Here is a 19,831-nt window from a genome sequence, read left to right as displayed (position 1 = left end):
AGCAACTCTAAGATACCATCAATTATATGACATATTACAATTTCAGAGATATTAAATCATGAAAAATAACTGTATATATTGGAATTAGTAAAGTATATAATACTCTAGAGCTAATTAAACTTAACAAAGAATGTGACCAAAGTGCTATATATTACAGCACTATCAATTCAGCTACCCTAGGTCAACTGTCAAATGTATCCTGTTCCACTACAACTCCACTCTCAGCTTAGAAGCATCAGCTAATGGCAGCAATGACCAGATGGAATACAACTTAGGATGTTAAAGAGGGCAAAATTTAAGCCTATCAAGTACTACCCAGACTTAAGCCTTAAATAACAAACAACAGTACTTTATTTCTATGCCTCCTCTTGCACAAGAAATTTGAACAAATCACCTCTGGCCTATCAATATATAATAATACAGTTGTCCATAAGGTAGCATCCCAAAGGTAAAAATGCATCTGAAATTCAAATATGACGAATGTTATAATTTTTGCTTCCTAGCCTATAGAACTTTAAATACATCTCTATGGATATATTTAGGCATTTATTTAATTCTAAAGTTAAGCCATATGTATTTCACTATGAATTTACCTTTTTTATTCAAAGTAGAATTCAATTTTCTACAATTTTACAGTGGGCTTTTAAAATTATTATTATGATAATCTACAAAGTCTGTTATCTCCCTAACAGACTTCAGGTTTCCATTCTTGTAACTTTTCTTTCTTTTTTTTTTGAAACGAGGTCTTGCTGTAGTGCCTAGGCTGGTTTCAAACTTCAAACTCCTGGGCTCAAGCAATCTTCCCACCTCAGCCTCCCAAAGTGCTGAGATTACAGACATGAGGCACCACGCCAGACCTGGACAACAGTTTTCTTGAAGGCAAAGCCAATCGCTCAGATATATGGCACACCAACCAGTGTGCTGCTTTACATGTAGCATTCTCATCAGAGCAGAACTAAATGAAATTGAAACAAAAATAAAAAAATAGAAAAGATAAATGAAACAAAAAAAGCTGGTTCTTTGAAAAGATAAACAAAATGGGAGCTATTACACCTGACACCACCGAAAGACAAAATATCATTCAAGGCTACTATGAACAACTTTACATGCAAAAACTAGAAAACCTAGAATATATGGATAAATTCCTGGGAAGATTCAAACCTCCTAGCTTAAATCAGGAAGAACTGGATACCCTAAACAGACCAATAACAAGCAGCAAGATTAAAATGGTAATTTAAAAATTACCAACAAAAAAAAGTTCAGAACCAGAAGGATTCACAGCTGAATTGTATCAGACATTGGAAGAAGAATTGGTACCAATCCTTTTGACGCTATTCCACAAGATAGAGAAAGAGAATCCTCCCTAAATCATTCTATGAAGCCTGTAATACCCTAAGACCAAAACCAGGAAAGGATATAACCAAAAAAGAAAACTACAGACCAACATCCCTGATGAACACAGATGCAAAGATTCTTAACAAAATACATCTAACCAAATCCAACAACATATCAAAAAGATAATCCACCATGATCAAATGGGTTTCATACCAAGGATGCAGGGATGGTTTAACATACACAAGTCAATAAATGTGATACACTACATAAACAGAATTAAAAACAAAAATCACATGATCATCTCAATAGATGTAGAAAAAGCATCTGACAACATCTAGCATCCCTTTATGATTCAAACTCTCAGCAAAATTGGCAGACAAGAGACATACCTCAATGCAATAAAAGTCATCTATGACAAACCCACAGCTAACGTAGTTCTGAATGGGGAAAAGTTTAAAGCGTTCTGTCTGAAAACTGGAACAAGACAAAGATATCCACTCTCTTCATTTCATTCTCTTCTCTTCACTATAAGGACACAGTCACCAAAACAGCATGGCACTGGTATAAAATAGGCACAAGGACCAACGGAACAGAATAGAGAATCCAGAAATAAACCCAAATACTTACAGCCAACTGTAAGTATTTTGCCAACTGATCTTTGGCAAAACAAACAAAAACATAAAGTGGGGAAAGGACAACCTATTCAACATATGGTGCTGGGATAATTGGCAAGTCACATGTAGGAGAATGAAACTGGATCATCTCTCACCTTATACAAAAATCAACTCAAGATGGGTCAAGGACTTAAGTCCTGAAACACATCAAGGACAAAGACCTGAAACTAGAAAAATTCTAGAAGATAACACAGGAAAAACCCTTCTAGACACCGGCTTAGGCAAGGATTTCATGACCACGAACCAAAAAGCAGATGCAGTAAAAACAAATATAAATGGCTGAGACCTAATTAAACTAAAGAGCTTTTGCACGGCAAAAGGAACAGTCAGCAGAGTAAACAGTCAACTCACAGAGTGGGAGAAAAATCTTCATAATCTATACCTCTGACAAAGGACTAATATCCAGAATCTACCTCAAACTCAAATTAGCAAGAAAAAAACAAACAATCCCATGAAAAAGTGGGCTAAGGGCAGGAAAAGACAATTCTCAAAGGAAGATAAACAAATGGCCAAGAAATATGAAAAAAATGCTCAACATCACTAATGATCAGGGAAATGCAAATCAAAACCAAAATGCAATACTGCCTTACTTCTGCAAGAATGGCCCTAGTCAAAAAATCAAAAAACAATAGATGTTGGCATTGATGAAGTGAAAAGGGAACACTTCTACATTGCTAGTGGGAATGTAAACTAGTACAACCACTATGGAAAACAGTGTGGAGATTCCTTAAAAAACTAAAAGAAGAACTGCCATTTGATTCAGCAATCCCACTACTGAGTATCTACCCAGAAGAAAAGAAGTCATGATACAAAAAAGATACCTGCACACGCATGTTTACAGCAGCACAATTCGCAATTGCAAAAATGTGGAACCAACCTAAATGCCCATTAATCAACTAGCGGATAAAGAAACCGTAGTATGTGGATATATATATATATATATATATATATATCATGGAATACTACTCAGCCATAAAAGGGAAGGCATTAATGCCATTTGCTGCAATCTGGATGGAACTGGAGACTATCAGCCTAAGTGAAGTAACTCAGGAATGGAAAACCAAACATCGAATGATCTCATTTGTAAGTGGGAGCTAAGCTATGAGGATGCAAAGGCATGAGAATGACGAAATTGACTTTGGGGATGCAGGGGGAAACTGTGGGAGGGGGGTGAGGGATAAAAGACTACAAATCAGGTTCAGCATATACGGTTCGGGTGATGGGCACACCAAAATCTCACAAACTACTTAGTCATGTAACCAAATACCACCTGTTCCCCAAAAACCTGTGGAAATAAATTTTTTTTTAAAGACAAAAGGTAAGAAGATAAATTTAGGCAACATAATAAATCTTTAAAACAATAGAAAAAAAAAGAAAACACATTCAGCATCCTCAAACATTGGTTGAGCTAAAAAATTGGTCTGAAATAATTATTTTGATAAAACCATGTAAGATTTCTAAGTGCTCTGAGACCACCATTTGGAAATTATGGCACTTGTACTCATATATGTACATATATGAATGCATATTTCATATATGTGTATATGCGAATGATTTCATATATGTGTGTATGTGAATGCATATTTCATATATGTGTACATGTGAATGCATATTTCATATATGTGTATATGTGAATGCATATTTCACATGTGTATATGTGAATGCATATTTCATATATGTGTATATGTGAATGCATATTTCATATATGTGTATATGTGAATGCATAAATTTCGTATGTGCATATGTGAATGCATATTTCATATGTGTATATGTGAATGCATATTTCATATGTGTATATGTGAATGCATATTTCATATATGTGTATATGTGAATGCATATTTCATATATATATATATATACATGGAACAATGGCATTGAGTAAACACTAACAAATTATGACCCTTAAAAACTATGACTTTATGCTGTTTCTCGTATAATATGACAGATCCCCTAAGTAACTGCAACAATAATTCCCAAAAAAAAACAAGTAAACAGTAAATCTCATGAAGTGAGTAGTCTGGTAGTTATCAGAGACCAGGAAGGGTGGGGGAGTGGAGGAGATAGAAGTTGATTAATGGGTACAGAAATACAGGTACAAGAAATAAGACCTAGTTTTCAATAAATCAGCAGAGTGACTACAGTAAACAATAATTTACAGTATATTTCAAAATAGCTATCAAAGAATAATTTGAATATTTCCAACATAAAGATAAATGTTTAAGGTAATATATATCTTAATTACCCTGATTTATTACATATTATAAAAATGTGTCAAAATATTACATGTACCTCAAAATATGTGGGTCTATTACGTATCAATACAAAAAAAAAAAGGAAAAAAGAAAAAAAATCTTAAAAGCCTATCTGAGCTAGCGCAAGGTATAAAAAATACTTAGACCAAAGACCAAGTGAAAAGAGAGGAACCCAAAGAAGTAAGAACAACACTGCAGACTGCTATTCATTGGATTTGCAAACCAATTAAAGTTAAGCCTGGTTTTTCACTATATTTCACTGGGCTCCTGAAATAGAAAATAAGTCCAAATTCTGCTCAAGGTAGAAAATCTAATAAGAGTTCCTTCCCTTATAAAGCTGAGACTCAGGGGTTAAGTTCAACATAATGGTAAACTAGAAATAAACTCACTGTTCACCCTCTTCCCCAACAACCCCAACCCTAACCCTACCCTTATTTTGACAACTGCAAGGAAAATCAAATATCTCAAATGGTAAAACTGACCTCATTTGAATTTGCAGCAAGAACAACAGTATCTAGATATTTAAAACCTCCAATAGAGAATTTAATTTAAAGTTATGCTAGATTGGTAATGCTCCCAGGTGCTTAACAGACACAGATGCACATCTTCTCTGGAGTTCTGTCATATTCACTTGGAGATCAAAGAATTTCTACAGAAAATAATTCCAAGGAAAATGAACAGTAAATTGGTAAATTAACAAAATAAAAAAAAAATAAAATGAACAGTAAAAAACTAAACCCACAAGAAAACAAGTTATCATGTATGAAACAACATTCAAAGGAAGATGACTAAGGACTCCAAATGCTACAATTACCAAAAACCAAGGCTTAGAAAATAAAACAAGCTTGCAAATATGTACAGTAAAAAAGAATTACAAAGACAGATAATGGTTTGAAAAATAACTAAACAGAACCATAAAAACTGAAATATAAAATATCTGAAGTTTAAGGTGCAATGGATAGGCTTAAGATCAGATTAAGGTGTGGCCAAAGAAATGGACAACTATAAATTAAAAGTAACGAAATAATGAAAAATGCAGGCAACAGAGAAAATGAGACAGAAAATGGAATCATTTAAGAAACATGGAAGATAGAATGAGAAGGTCTAAAGTATGTCTCATTTAAGTTCCAAAAAGAGGTGAGAAAAAAGGGGGGATGGGGAACAGAACATATGCAAAAAAAAAAAAAAAAGCTTATTTCATGGATTATCAAAACGACCAAGACTTTGAGAACTGATGAAAAACACCAATACGCAGATTTAATTCTGACAAATTCCAAGTGGGGTATATAAAAAAGAAATCCGCATCTAGCTACAGCAGATAAATTTAAAATGATCTTTAAAATAACCACACGGAACAGATTTCCCTCATAGGACTGATTATCACACTAACAACTAACTTATCATCAAAACAAAGGAAGCTAGAAGACAGTAGAGTAGTATTTTCAATGTGATGGGAAAAAAATAAACTCCCATATTATTTTCCAAAGTGGCTAGATCATTTTGCATTGCCTGGGGCTGTTGGGAACAAGTACTATTCTCAGTCCAGTCTACGCTCTGGTAATTTTTCTGCCTGTTTCTTTCCCGGTGACTTTTTCCCAGGCCTCATGTAGTTTTCTCACATACATGTGCTGAATAGTATTTGGCGGATGTAAGGAGAACCCTCTACATAGCGTCTGAGCTCCTTCTGCGCACAATCTTTCCTCTTTGGAACTCGGCCCCATGTGGCTGCCAACATGGCCAAAATCAGGAAGTTACACCCAATCGTTTATTTTAAATAACCTTACAGTTCCAATAAACAACTTTCATGATCATGTTTATAGATGTAAAGTGTATTTTTTAAAATACTTCCATAATACAATCTCAATTTTGTTTGTTAGCATGTTAAAGGGTTTTATTATTTTTTTTTGTTTCATTTACTTATTGAAGGGATATACAAAACTAAAGAATCCTCAGTTGTACATAAAACTAAATAGAATCTATGCTATTTGCAAGTTGGATATTTCTATCCAACTTGAGCTATGAGTTACAGCCAGTACCATAATTGTGTGGAGGAGGTTTCAATTATGCATTAATTACATAGCAAAGCCTCCAGCTGACTCAAACTGTAGGGGAGATGTCAGTTGCAATGAGGTGTTAAACAATGAAGGGAGTGTTTTAAACTTGGAAGAAACATTAGGCATGGTCTATCCTAAGAATGTGGTCTGTTTAATTGTCTGGTTTCTCTGTAGTAAACAAGACTAAAGAGAATGACACTAAAATTTACTTTGTGATTTCTTTCACTATTCACTATTTTCTGCTATAAAACAGTGTTTAAGTATTAGATTTGTAATACATTCAGATGAACACTGCAAAGGTTCTTGAGAGTGGAGAATGAAAAGACAATTTCTTTTTTTTAACATTCCACAAACTTACTGTAAATTTTGTATAACCAGTTAGATATATTTATTTTTTTAAAAGTTGTCAATTACTAAAATTTGTGAGATTGGATAACACCAAATTCACAAATCATAAAATTGGTTAAAAAAATACAGTAAATGCCAAAAAAAACAAAAAACAAAAAAACAACACAATACCAAGTGTAATGAAGCATCATGGGAACTAAAATCGAGTCCCAGGCGTGGATATGACTACTATGTATCAAAAAAGGTATTTCAATTTGGAGATAAATGCAATAAATTAATTCACGGGTTGCACAAACACACATACATAAAATCAAACTTTAAATTTCAGGTATACAAGTCCCCCATCCTCCAATCTTCTCTTCTCAATGTGCTCCCTCATCCTTTTCTTTTTCTTTATTTACTTAGTACTCATTATTTGGCTAACACTGTTTTAAACAATGTAGCTACAAATAACAATAAAATAACAAGCCCTTGTCTCTGAAGAAATCATAATTTAGTTGGAAAGACTACAGACAGACTGCAAGACACAGAAACTATCACCAAAAAATACATGTATTTCAGATTATAAATCATGAAAAGCCATATATATATTGACTAAAAGGTGGAAAGCTCATACAAAAACTAAACAATTTTTAGAAGCAGTTAATGTGATCCATTTCTGTGAGTCTGACAGTTTCTGTTATATTATCATATCTATTTCAAGGACCAAAAGTATATCTTGTTCACACAATTGTAAATTACTTGAGGAATCTCATCAGATGACATATGCAATCAAAAAACTCACATCTGCCAGAATACTAAAACTTTACTATAAAAGCCACACTATTAATGAAAAAACAGCTCAATGAATATTTTGTCATTCAAAAGTACTAAAAATTTTTTAAAAAAAGAATTCAGGTATGAATATACTTGTATGTGCCGGGATACCTAGATTTTGTAAAGAAAGCTACTTAAGTTGGAGGCACTTAAAATTCAATTCTACATTTAGTGAAACCTGAAATCCACATATATTGCAAATTGGCTTCTCACTTTGAATCAGTTAAAAGCAGTATGGTTTTTTTAGATGTGAAGGGGCTTTTCTTTAAAAGTTATCATTAGGCCAGGCACAGTGGCTCATGTCTGTAATCTCAGCAGTTTGGGAGGCCGAGGCAGGCAGAGTTTGAGACCAGCCTGACCAACATGGTGAAACCCCGTCTCTACTAAAAATACAAAAATTAACCAGGTGTTGTGCCGCACGCCTGTAATCCCAGCTACTCAGGAGGCTGAAGGAGAATCGCTTGAACCCGGGAGGTGGAGGTTACAGTGAGCCAAGATCGCACCACTGCACTCCAGCCTGGGTGACACGGCGAGACTCCGTCTCAAAAAAAAAAAAAAAAAAAAAAAAAAAGTTATCATTGTTACTTTACTGAGAAAGAAGCCAGAGCATTCACATTCCCCTTCTGGGTATTTATTATGTTGCTGAATAAAACTGTTTCCCAGTGATCAGTAAAATTTTTAACAGGAAATTTTCAACATTAGAGCATTCAGATTACAAAATATAATTATTCTAACACTGACTTAGGCCTTGACTCTTGTAGAAGACTTTGCTTTGTTCTGGATTATTATCACACTACTATCAAGACCAGAATAAAACCCAATTTCTTTATTTTGCTGTTCTTTCCTTTTATGGTCAAGAGGTACACGTGCAGGTTTGTTACATGGGTATATTGCATGTCACTGGGGTATGGTGTACAAATTATTTCATGACCCAGGGTAATATGCACAGTACACAACAGGTATTTTTGATCCTCTCCCTCTTCCCAGCTTCCACCCTCAAGTAGGCCCTGGTGTCTTTTGTTTCCCTCTTTGTGTCCAACATGTACTCGATGTCTAGCTCCCACGTAGAACATGTGGTATTTGGATTTCTGTTTCTCTGTTAATTTGTTAGGATAATGGCTTCCAGCTGCATCCATGTTGCTGCAAAGGACATGGTTTTGTTTTTTATGGCTGCATAGTATTCCGTGGCATGTATGTACCAGATTTCTTTATCCAATCCACCACTGATGGAAATTTTGGTTGATTCCATGTCTTTAATATTGTAAAACGTGCCACAATGAACTTAAAGAGTGCATGTGTCTTTTTGGTAGAAAGATTTATATTCCTCTAGGTATATATCCAGTAATCAGATTGCTGGGTCAGATGGTAGTTCTGTTTTAAGTTTTTTGAGAAATCTGCAAACTGCTTTCCATGGTGGCTGAACTAAATTACATTCCCACCAGGAGCACATAAGCATTCCCTTTTCTCCACAACCTCACCAAGATCTATTATTTTCTGATGTTTTCATAATAGCCATTTTGACTGGTGTGATGTGAGATGATATCTCATTGCAGTTTTGATTTGCATTTCTCTAATGATTAGTGATGTTAAACATTTCTTTCCTATGTTTGTTGGCCATGTGTATATCTTCTTTTGAGAAGTGTCTGTTCGTGTCCTTTGCTCAGGACTGTTTGTTTTATGCTTAAGGTCCTTATACATTCTGGGTATTAGATCTTTGTCAGATGCATACCTTGCAAATATTCTCTCCCATTCTGTATGTTGTCTGTTTACTCTGTTGACAATGTCTTTTGCTGGGCAGAAGCTTTTTGGTTTAGCTCCCATTTGTCTATTTTTGTTTTTGCTGCATTTGCTTTTGAAGACTTTGTCATAAAATGTTTACCAAGGCCTATGTCCAGAATGGCATGCCCTGTTTTTTTCCTAGGGTTTTTATAGTTTCAGGTCCTACAATTAAGTCTTTTAATCCATCTTGAGTTGATTTTTGCATATGGTGAAAGGAAGGGGTTCGGTTTCAATCTTCTGCATTTGGCTAGCCAGTTATCCCAGCATCACTGAATAATGAGCACTTTCCCCACTGCTTGTTCCTGTCGACTTTGTCAAAAAGCAGATGGTTGCTGCTGGGCAGCTTTATTTGTGGATTCTCTAACTTGTTCCATTGGTCTGTGTGCCTGTTTTTGTACCAGTACTACAGTTTTGGTTACTCTAGTCTTGTTGTATAGTTTGAAATTGTGTAGTGTGATGCCTCCAACTTTGGTCTTTTTGCTTAGGATGCTTTGGCTATTCTGCCTCCTTTTTGGTTCCATATGGATTTTAGAATAGTTTGTTCGAATTTCTGAGAAAAATGAAATCTGGTAGTTTGCTAGGAATAGCAGTGAATCTGTAAGTTGTTTTGGGCAGTTATGGCCACTTTAACAATATTGATTCTTCCTATCCATGCACATGAAATGTTTTTCGATTTGTTTGTGTCTTCTCTAATTTCTTTCACAGTGTTTTGTAATTCTCATTGTAGAGATCTTTCACCTCCCTGGTTTAGCTGTATTCCCAGGTGTTTTGTGTGTGCATGTGTGAGTGTGTGGCTACTGTGAATAGGACTGAATTCTTGAGTTGGTTCTCAGCTTGGACATTACTAGTGTATAGAAATTCTACTTATTTTTGTACAGTGATTTTGTATCTGAAATTTCACTAAACTTGTTTATCAGTGCTAGGAATCTTTAGGTAGAGACTATGGGGTTTTCTAGGTATGGAATCATATTGTCTACAAAGATAGAAGGCATCTCTATTTGGATGCCTTTTATTTCTTTCTTTGTCTTGCCTGAGTCCCCTGGCTAGTACTTCCAGTACTGATACAGGAGTACTGGGAAGGCAAGAGCATGGTCCCTTTAAATGATATGGAATGGGGGAAGGCAAGTGCTGGGTAGAGGAGGGCCTGGTCCCTGGCTAGGGCTCCACCCTCATGAACCTACGTGAGGACAGGCACTTCTGCTTTCAAGCCCAAATGTTCCATTTTCCAAGACCACCCTAGCTCGCCATGCCCCCACCCAGGGCCTATAAAAACCCAAGACCCTAGTGGGCACACACACAGGTGGCCAGACGTCAAAAGGAGCATATCAGCAGAAGAAGACACAAGCAGCTGGATGTGAGGAACACATTGGCGGAAGAAGACACAGCAAGCAAGCTCTTGGTGGTCAAGAGCACACCAACAGGCACCAGCAGGCTGACAGGCCATCAGAATGACGCAGGGTCTGGCCACAGCGGCTGGACTCCAGGGGAAAACCATCCCCTTTCTGGCTCCCCTACTTCTACTCAATAAAACCTTGCACTCATTCTCCAAGCCTACATGTGATCCGATTCTTCCAGTACACCAAGACAAGAAACTCTGCGATAGAGCAGAGTATCTTGTCCTTGTGATAAGGTAGAGGGTCTGAGCTGGTTAACACAAGCCGCCTATAGGGTAAACCAAAAGAGCACCCTGTAACACACGTCCACTGGGGCTTCAGCTGTAAACATTCACCCCTAGACAATGCCGTGGAGTCTGAGCTCCACAGCCTGCCCGTCGGTGTGCTCCCCTAGAGGTTTCAGCAGCAGCTGGGTATTGAAGAAGCAAGCCACACCCCCACCGCAAGCCCTGGGAGGGAGACAAAGGAACATTTCCTGTTTCAGTACTACGTTGAATAGGGGTGGTGAGAGTGGACATCCTTGGTTTGTTCTGGTTCTCAGGGGGAATGCTTCCAGCTTTTGCCTATTCAGTATGATGTTGGCTGTAGGACTGTCATAGACGGCTCTCATTAGTTTGAGGTATGTTCCTTTGATGGGTAGTTTGTTGAGGGTTAACATGAAGGGATTTTAGGATTTACTGAAAGCCTTTTCTGCATCTACTGAGATGACCATGTAATTTTTTTAGTTCTGTTTATGTGACGAATCATGTTTACTGATTTGCATTTGTTGAACGAACCCTGCATCCCAGGGATAAAGCCTATTTGATGAGGGTGTTTTAGTTTTTTGATGTGCTGCTGGATTCGATTTTCTAATACTTTGTTGATTTTTGCATCTGTGCTCATCAGGGATACTGGCCAGCAGGTTTTTTTTTTTTTTAATTGTCTCTCTGCCAGGTTTTGGTATTAGAATGATGCTGGCTTCACAGAATGAGTTAGGGAAGCCCCTCCTCCTTGATTTTTTGGGGCGATTTCAGTAGGACTGGTACCAGCTCTCCTTTATACATCTGGTAGAATTCAGCTGTTAATCTGTCTGGTTTGGGGTTGGGGGGCTTCCGGTTGGTAGGATTCTTTTCTACTGATTCAAATTCGGAACTCATTATTGGTCTGTTAAGGATTTCAATTCCTTCCTAAATCAATCTTGAGAGATTATATGTTTCTAGGAGTTTATCCATTTCTTTTAGGTATTCTAGTTTGTGTGCACAGGGGTGTTCATAGTCTCTGAGGGTTTTCTGTATTTCTGTGGAGTTGGTGGTAATGTCCCTTTGTCATTTCTGATTGTGTTTATTGGGATCTTTTCTCTGTTTTTCTCTATTAATCTAGCTAGCAGTCTATTAATCGTATTATTTCAAAGAACCAAATTTTGGTTTTATTGATCTTTTGCATGGATTTTCACATATCAATTTAGTTCAGCTCTGATTTTGGTTATTTTCTTCTGCTACCTTTGGGACTGGTTTGCTCTTGTTCTTCTAGTTCTTACAGGTGTGACGTTAGGTGGTTAATTTGAGATCTAACTTCGTGATATAGGCATTTAGCACTATGAACTTTCCTCTTAATACTGCTTTAGCTATGTCCCAGGGATTCCGGTACATTGTATCTTTGTTTTCATTTGTTTCAAAGAATTTTTTGAGGCTGGGCATGGTGGCTCATCCCTGTAATCCCAGCCCTTCGGGAGGCCAAGGCAGGCAGCTCACTTGGGCCCAGGAGTTCGAGACCAGCCTGGGCAACATGGCTAAGCCCAGTCTCTACAAAAAATACAAAAATTTGCCAGGTGTGGTAGTGCACACCTGTAGTCCCAGCTACTCAGAAGGCTGAGGCAAGAGGATTGCTTGAGCCCAGGAGGCAGAGGTTGCAGAGAGCCGAGATCACACCACTGCACTCCAGCCTGTGTGACAGAGAAAGACCCTGTCTCAAAAAAAAAAAAAAACCTGTGTTAATTTCATTCTTTGCCCAAAAGCGATTTAGGACCAGGCTGTTTAATTTCTATGTAACTGTATAAAAACTTAATTTCTTAATCTGAATGTTTGTTAGGTATCTCCACAGTACAAATAATAAGACTACTAAATTGATCATCAGGAGATCTGGTTGTATTTCCTGCTCTGCAACTAAATGGCAGAGGTAAAAGGCTAAAATAGACTTTAAGTTTCTTTTATATATCAGTATTTTTGTTTAGGAATAAGAGTGGGTCAAACTAGATATACTGTATATCATTTTTAGGTCTCAAGTTGTAGAAAACAATACATTTCAAGTTGTTTATATACTATGAAAAATCACTATTATATACATTCTCACTAACAGCACATAATTTGAGAGAAGCTAGATAAAGCTTTTAAAGGCTAACTGTTGAGGTCTAATTTGTTTCTGAACCTATCTTCAGAATGTGATTCAAGTTTGCAGAGAGTCAAAAGACAGTATATTTTTCACTGTACTTAGAATAAGGCATTGAAACTGAGTTTTACACCAAGTGCTAAACACATTTCTCAGCAGCTGCAACTAGTGACAAACCAGTACCACTCTCATGTGAGCTCCTAGAAGGTTGGGCGTGTTGTATATTCATCTAGAGTAATTTACTTTTTAGTTATTGCTCTGTAGATGTTAGTTGAAACAACAAACCCAATATACACATCAATCTCCCCAAATGAGAGTTATCACTAAATTCATCTGAATCTGTCTCATAGTTAAGGCATCAACATCACTGATTAGAAAAACATTAAAACTTATTTCTAATGTCAAGTGTATCCCAACTGCAAACAATCTAAGTGGCCAAATAGCTTATAAAATAATCTATTTTTTTCTTATTTTCTGAGGAGTCTCGCTCTGTCGCCCAGGCTGGAGTGCAGTGGCGGCATCTCAGCTCACTGCAAGCTCCGCCTCCCAGGTTCACGCCATTCTCCTGCCTCAGCCTCCCATGTAGCTGGGACTACAGGCACCTGCCACCATGCCCGGCTAATTTTTTTTGTATTTTTAGTAGAGACGGGGTTTCACTGTGTTAGCCAGGATGGTCTTGATCTCCTGACCTCATGATCCACCCACCTCGGCCTCCCAAAGTGCTGTGATCACAGGCGTGAGCCACCGTGCCCAGCCAATAATCTGCATTTTTAATTCCCCTCAGGTACAACTCAAACAATTATGAAACATGAATTAAGAAATTTGCTACATTTGGCAGACTAATAAGTTCCTACTAAAATGGGTTATACTATCTGGTACACTGCATTATTGGAACGGGAACTTTATACATAAACACCTGGAAATGCTAAATACAATGTAACATATACCTGAAATGCTGAGCTAGAAAGAAAATAGTCATCGGCTACAAATGAAGAAAATGCTGACGACCAATAAAGTGCACTGGTGTTGCCCATGAGGAAAGTGTAGGCAGTACTAAGAATTGGCTTTTACCAACTACATAGGGAAAGGACACAGAGGAACTGGAACTAGAGCCACAGAAGAGTCACATGATCAACAAAAGGTTAAAGTAGAGGGAAAAACTGTTTCCAATCAAATGTCGGGGAAGCATATCCATCTTGCTCTACCTCTGGAGCAGGGGAAGAAAAGGGGCTCCTGGATAATTTGTCAGCCAGGTTCCAATGTCACTCAGGTCTGATTCAAATTTGAATTTATACTACCCAGATGGACTAGAAATCCTTATGTTAAGAATTTAACACAAAAATCAACTCAAGGCTTGAGATATTCTTGAAGCACCTGGCAAAGCAATCACAAAATCACTCTGGAAGGACGTAACTTCAAGCCAGTAGCACTTCAAATAATACCATATTAAGATTAGTGAGCAACAGTCCAAATTCCTAACAAATACCAAAATTAAATAATCAGGTATGTATGTAACACAACAGGACAATTTGACAGCTTCTGTTTAATAAGAAGTACCATGAGAATGCAACAAACACTACGAAAATATTAAAGCAGAATACAGTTAACCACCTTCGCTCCAACTAGTGATCACAACATCTCTCTTATCCTCTGAAAGAGTATGTATTACAATTTTTGAATTCCTCCATTTTCTATCCCCTATTTCATAAAACGCATTCTGACAGAAGGAACTATCTTAAAATCCCACATCAGGCAATGGTATTTAGCTGAATATATAAAATATTTACCCATTTTAACAATGAGTATGACTAAAAAAAAAAAAAATCTACTGAGGAAAAAATTTGCAACACTGTGTCTAAAAAACTTGATAGCATTCTGAAAATCACTTAAACATGGCTCATTTTAAACCTTGTTAATGTCTATATCATTGAAGATTATTTAAAACAATTTTTATATTGCCATCTTTCTTCTGTAAACTATAGCCAATCCAAGAAGTAGTATACAGATTTAAAAATAGTCACAATATTTAAAAGTGGTATGTCTACTCATATTCATTAATAGAAGAAATGCTATGGGAAAATATACGTAAACTACTTAAATTTTAAATCTGAAAGTGGTTGGGGATGGAAGAGATTTATTTTGTGCCCAATAACCGTGATGCATGTTTATTAGAACAAACTGGGTACAAGTGTGACTGTATTCATTTTAATAAGGAAATGAGGAAGGAAAATAGACATTAAAATTTTTGAAAAGTTAAGCATTTGGAAATTTTATCATCATTTATAGGTTTCATTTTCACTTCTTTAACTTTCACTGCTATCTAGGTTAAATAACTATGCCCCCACCTACCCGCCCACTTACTCCCACTAGGGTATAACATCTAATATTCAGAGAGAACCTGAATTTGCTTTAGAACTTCCTCAAGCTCTCTCAGAGAAAATCATCAAAAGAAAACAATTCATATTAAAAGTTAATACGATAGTACCTTTTTTCATTAGGACTTTAGCCAGAAGTTTCTGTAACTTTCCCTAAAGGATCCAAATATAAAAGAATATATTCTGTTTTGAAAATGTATGCTTCATACTATGTGTAAGGCCTATAGCACAGAAACCGAAATTTTGTTTTTTCCAAATAAGTAATACTGATTCAGTAACTACTATTTTCCAATGGTATCTCAATATCCTACGTACAGGATAGTTTAATAAATTACTTACTTCAGGTCCTGTAGAAGGTCTTTTGCATTAAGCATGGTTATTAAAGAGGTGGTAGCTGCAGGAATTATGATAATGGGTGTTCGAGATCCTATAAAGACAAAATTTACAGGTAGAAAATATATTATTAGAAATTATACTTACTTTCTCTACTAAAAGTTAAAAGATTATAAATTGTAACTTTAACTTTTGATCTAAAAAATATTTTAAGCCAGTGGATATTAAAAAATATTTAATAATCAGTGTGGCTTGGGCACTAATAAATCAGAATGGATACCAAGCACAAACATGTGATACAGCTGCACAAGAAAATTATCAGGCCTGGTTTTGCAATCATTTACTTTTTAAAGTTAAGTTTAAAATCATATGCACAACCTCACCTTTCTTCTGATTTGGGGGAGGTCTTGCTTGAGAAACTGTGAAAAAGAAAAAAAATCACAACTCTGTGTCATAAAAACCATATTCTTATTTTCAAACTTACAAATAAGGGATATTTTTTAAATTATGTGTATTCCCATATGACTAACTGTAAATCAGAAGACTTTTTTTACAACTATCTTCTCAACACTGTTTGACAAAAATATTAAAATGCATTATTCAACAATCTGTAGTCAAAAGGAAAGTGAATATACAACATCCATAGTTCTGTTTTCTGCAGTTTCAGTTAACCACAGTCCACTGTGGTCTGAAAATATTAAATAGAAAATTCCAGAAACAAACAATTCACAAGACTGAAACTGCACATTTTTCTCAGGAGCATAATGAAATCTCACACTGCCCCACCCAGGATGTGAATGCTCTTTGTCCAGCATATCCACATTCTATACACTACCCACCCTTTAGTCACTCAGTAGTCATCTCCCTCACTGTTATCACAGTGCTTGTTTCAAGTAGCCCTTGTTTTACTTGCGAATGGCCTCAAAGTGTAAGAGTGATAAGGCTGACAATTTGGATATGCCACTACCAAAGAAAAGACATTAAGTGTTTCCCTTAGGTGAAAAGGTGAAAATCTCTACTACTAAGTAGACAAGAAAATCTCTACTACTAAGTTGAAGAGAAAAAAATAAAATCACATCCCGAGGTTGCTAACATCTACGATAAAAATACTGAATCTACCATCCGTGTAACTGCGAAGAAGAAAAAGAAATTCGTGCTACTTTTGCCTTTGTACCTCAAACTGCAAAAGTTTCAGCCACAGTGAGTGATAGTGTTAAGATGGAAAAGGCATTAAATTTATGGGAGACATAAGAGAAACATGTTCTGGTTGACCGAATCTGGTTTGGTACTATCCCTCCCTGGTTTCAGGTATCCGCTGGGGGGTCTTGGAATGTATGCCCTGCTAGTAAGTGGGGACTACTGTATTACAATGCCAGGCACTGAGTATCTTACATTCATGGATGTTCAGGTCTAGCAAAAAAGAGAAGAGCGAGACAAGAAATAATTTCATAATAAGCTGATTACCACTGTAATAACTGTGAAAAGAGAGCATACGAGCAAATACTACTGTGCGAAGTGCGAATACGCTTAACCATTTTGGAAGAAAAGGAAAGAAGTTATTGAGATCTAAGGCTAAAAGATTCCTTTTATTTTTTTTTCTTTCTTTTAAAAATTGTTTCTTGTCTCTTTTTAGGTGAGAAATACAGCATTACAGGTAATCAGTCATGTATATGTGAAGGTCTATATTATCTGAAAATGACCATATGATTGATTGTGATCATGTTATACATACACAAATCTTCCTATCTTTCTTTTTAACAAAAACAGGGTCTCGCAATGTCACCCAGGGTTGATCTCGAACTCCTGAGCTCAAGCTATCCTCCCACCTCAGCCTCCCAAAGTGCTGGGATTACACAGGTGAGCCACTGAGCCTGGCCCATATGTTTGTATTTTGTTTATATACAATGAACTTTTAATGCTTAGAAATATTTGTTGACATAATGGTAATAATAACCTAACACAAGATGAATACATCTTAGGATAAAAAGTGCTGCAAGTTCTATTTTCAGTATTTGACCATACAATAACTCAATGTGCTACAAGCTGTGCTTGAGTTTTGTTTTTTAAATGACAAAAATAAAGAAAAATTTAGGAGACTTAAAATTCTAATTCAATGTCAGTTCTTAAAAATGGATACCATCTTTAAAGTGAATAACACAGCACACACACTTTCAGAAAATGTTCTATTTAAAAAGCAACAAAATGCTACATTTTCACTAATTCTTTGTAATCCTTTATATAGCTCTCTCATTGTGATAAACTGTCATAGGATTCAGTAGTATGACCTTCCCAGCCACAGAAAGCAGATAACTATATACACAAACACATACTGAGACATATGCCTTTACTATTACAGTTTTCTCATCTTTCTTCTTGCTGAGAAAAAATACTAGAATTTTCTTAAATCAATTTGAGAAATGAAGGGTCATGGATAAATCTCATTGGCTACATAGTGTCATGTGGAATATAATATAGTCTCGGTAAATATTTGGCATTTGTTGGAGAGATAAAGGGGTAACAGGATGGATAAACAGGAAACAGGAGTTGCTATTATGACTAAAGGGAACTACAAAAAAACAAAGATGGAAGGAAGGCAGAGAGGGGGGAGAGGAAGAGAGGGAAGAAGAAAGAGAGAGCAAGGGAGAAATCTCTGACTGAAGTACTGTTGGATTTGGTAAGGAAATCCACAAATGCCCTCAGGAATTTAGGCAAACATTTACTAAACTCAAGGCTGAGAAGACCCAATATAAGAAAAAGGCAAAATAAAAAAACTCACAAATGTTAAAAATAAAGTTTAGAGGTTTAGTTAAAAAAGATAACTGCAAAAGAATATAAACAAGTTCCCTAGTATGTAAGGACCCAGACTGAGACACTGTGATGAACATGTCAATGAGAAGCTTGATCTTAACGGGGGAGGGGGAGAGAAACATAAGGAGTTTGTATGACAGAGTGATCAACAGCAAAGGTCTGTACTCAGATTATTTTAGTTCATATCCTTATTTTGCCACTGTCTAGGCAAGCTGATTAACTTTGCTCGGCCTCAGTTTCCTCAATCGTAAAAGAGATAATAGTTTCTATATCTTGATACTGCTGTGAGAATTTAAAAAATAATAATGCATGCTAAAGTCCTTAATTAGGTGTTAGCACATACTTACCATTTACTGAATCCTGCAACTACAGTAGATGCTAACTGCTGCCACTTCTACTACTACCGCTACTCAAGCAAGTGTGCTAATTGCCAATTTACAAGCTGAGAATAAACCATAAGAAAAATTACTGTTGCTCTGTTTGATTTCAAATAAATTAGATTCTTAAGAAACATTTATTTGGAGCCTATGTACAAGCATCACTGCTAAGTTATTATTAAATTGCAAATAAAACAGAAGTAATTCCTGCCCTCAAAGAGCTTTCAGCAGAGTACGGGAGCCCAGACCATAAACAAAAATGCAACCAAACACATAATCTAATTGGAACACATACTAAGGGAACAAAATGAGTGTATACTGGCAGAAAAGTGTCCTTTAGATATAATGCAAACAGCTTCTCAAAGAAAGTGGCATTTAAGCTGAAATTTGAAAGATGAAAACAAGCCAACTTGCCAAGAACAAGTAGGCGAACAGTTCAGATAAGAGGTAGGAATACGGGCAAATACCATAGGCGGGAAGAAACTGCTGCGCTTGGGGAACTGAACAAAACAAATGTGTAGACCACAGAGAAGAAAGGAAGAATGGCAGGAGATGAGGTTACAAATATATGCAGAGACCAATTCATGTAGGGCTTTTTAAGCAATATTAAGTTTACATTTAAGTGACACTGGCAAGTCCTATAACTATTAAGCCAGAAAGTGAAAAGATTTTATTTTCATGTCACAAGTCTGGAAGAAAAAAAACAATGGATTTGGACAAAGGATCGAAAAGAGTACAAGTGTGAAGGCAGAAAGCTCAGTTAGGACTATTACAACAGTCAACAATGGTGCTACTCAAACTATGTGTGGTTGAGTTTTTGTTTTAAATTCCAATTCAAAGCCAACTGAATAAAATATAATAGCAATGAATTTCTAGAAAGATGGTTATGTACTCAGATGCTATGACACTATTTTACCCTCAA

At 36.2% G+C, this 19,831-nt stretch overlaps 1 protein-coding gene across 1 annotated transcript in view, besides 1 other annotated feature; it reads right to left on the bottom strand.

Moving 5' to 3' along the window:
- Positions 1-19,831, bottom strand: part of CDC73 (cell division cycle 73) — a 132,785-nt gene that overhangs the window by 26,608 nt on the left and 86,346 nt on the right. The window contains exons 12-13 of the mRNA NM_024529.5: positions 16,108-16,143; positions 15,731-15,818 (exon numbers count right to left, since the gene is read on the bottom strand). Coding sequence (NP_078805.3) covers positions 15,731-15,818; positions 16,108-16,143 — 124 coding nt within the window. The remainder of the gene's footprint in view (positions 1-15,730; positions 15,819-16,107; positions 16,144-19,831) is intronic.
- Positions 11,158-11,217: an enhancer, noted in NCBI's record as "active region_2269". NCBI's record gives its function as "activates an Ori minimal core promoter by ATAC-STARR-seq in GM12878 lymphoblastoid cells {active_cell/tissue: GM12878}" and the evidence as "EXISTENCE:reporter gene assay evidence [ECO:0000049][PMID:35858748]".

Source organism: Homo sapiens, chromosome 1 (genome assembly GCF_000001405.40).
Source record: "Homo sapiens chromosome 1, GRCh38.p14 Primary Assembly".
NCBI lineage: Eukaryota > Metazoa > Chordata > Mammalia > Primates > Hominidae > Homo > Homo sapiens.
The sequence above is the reverse complement of the archived record's forward strand: the minus strand, read 5'-3'. Positions and strand labels throughout refer to the sequence as shown.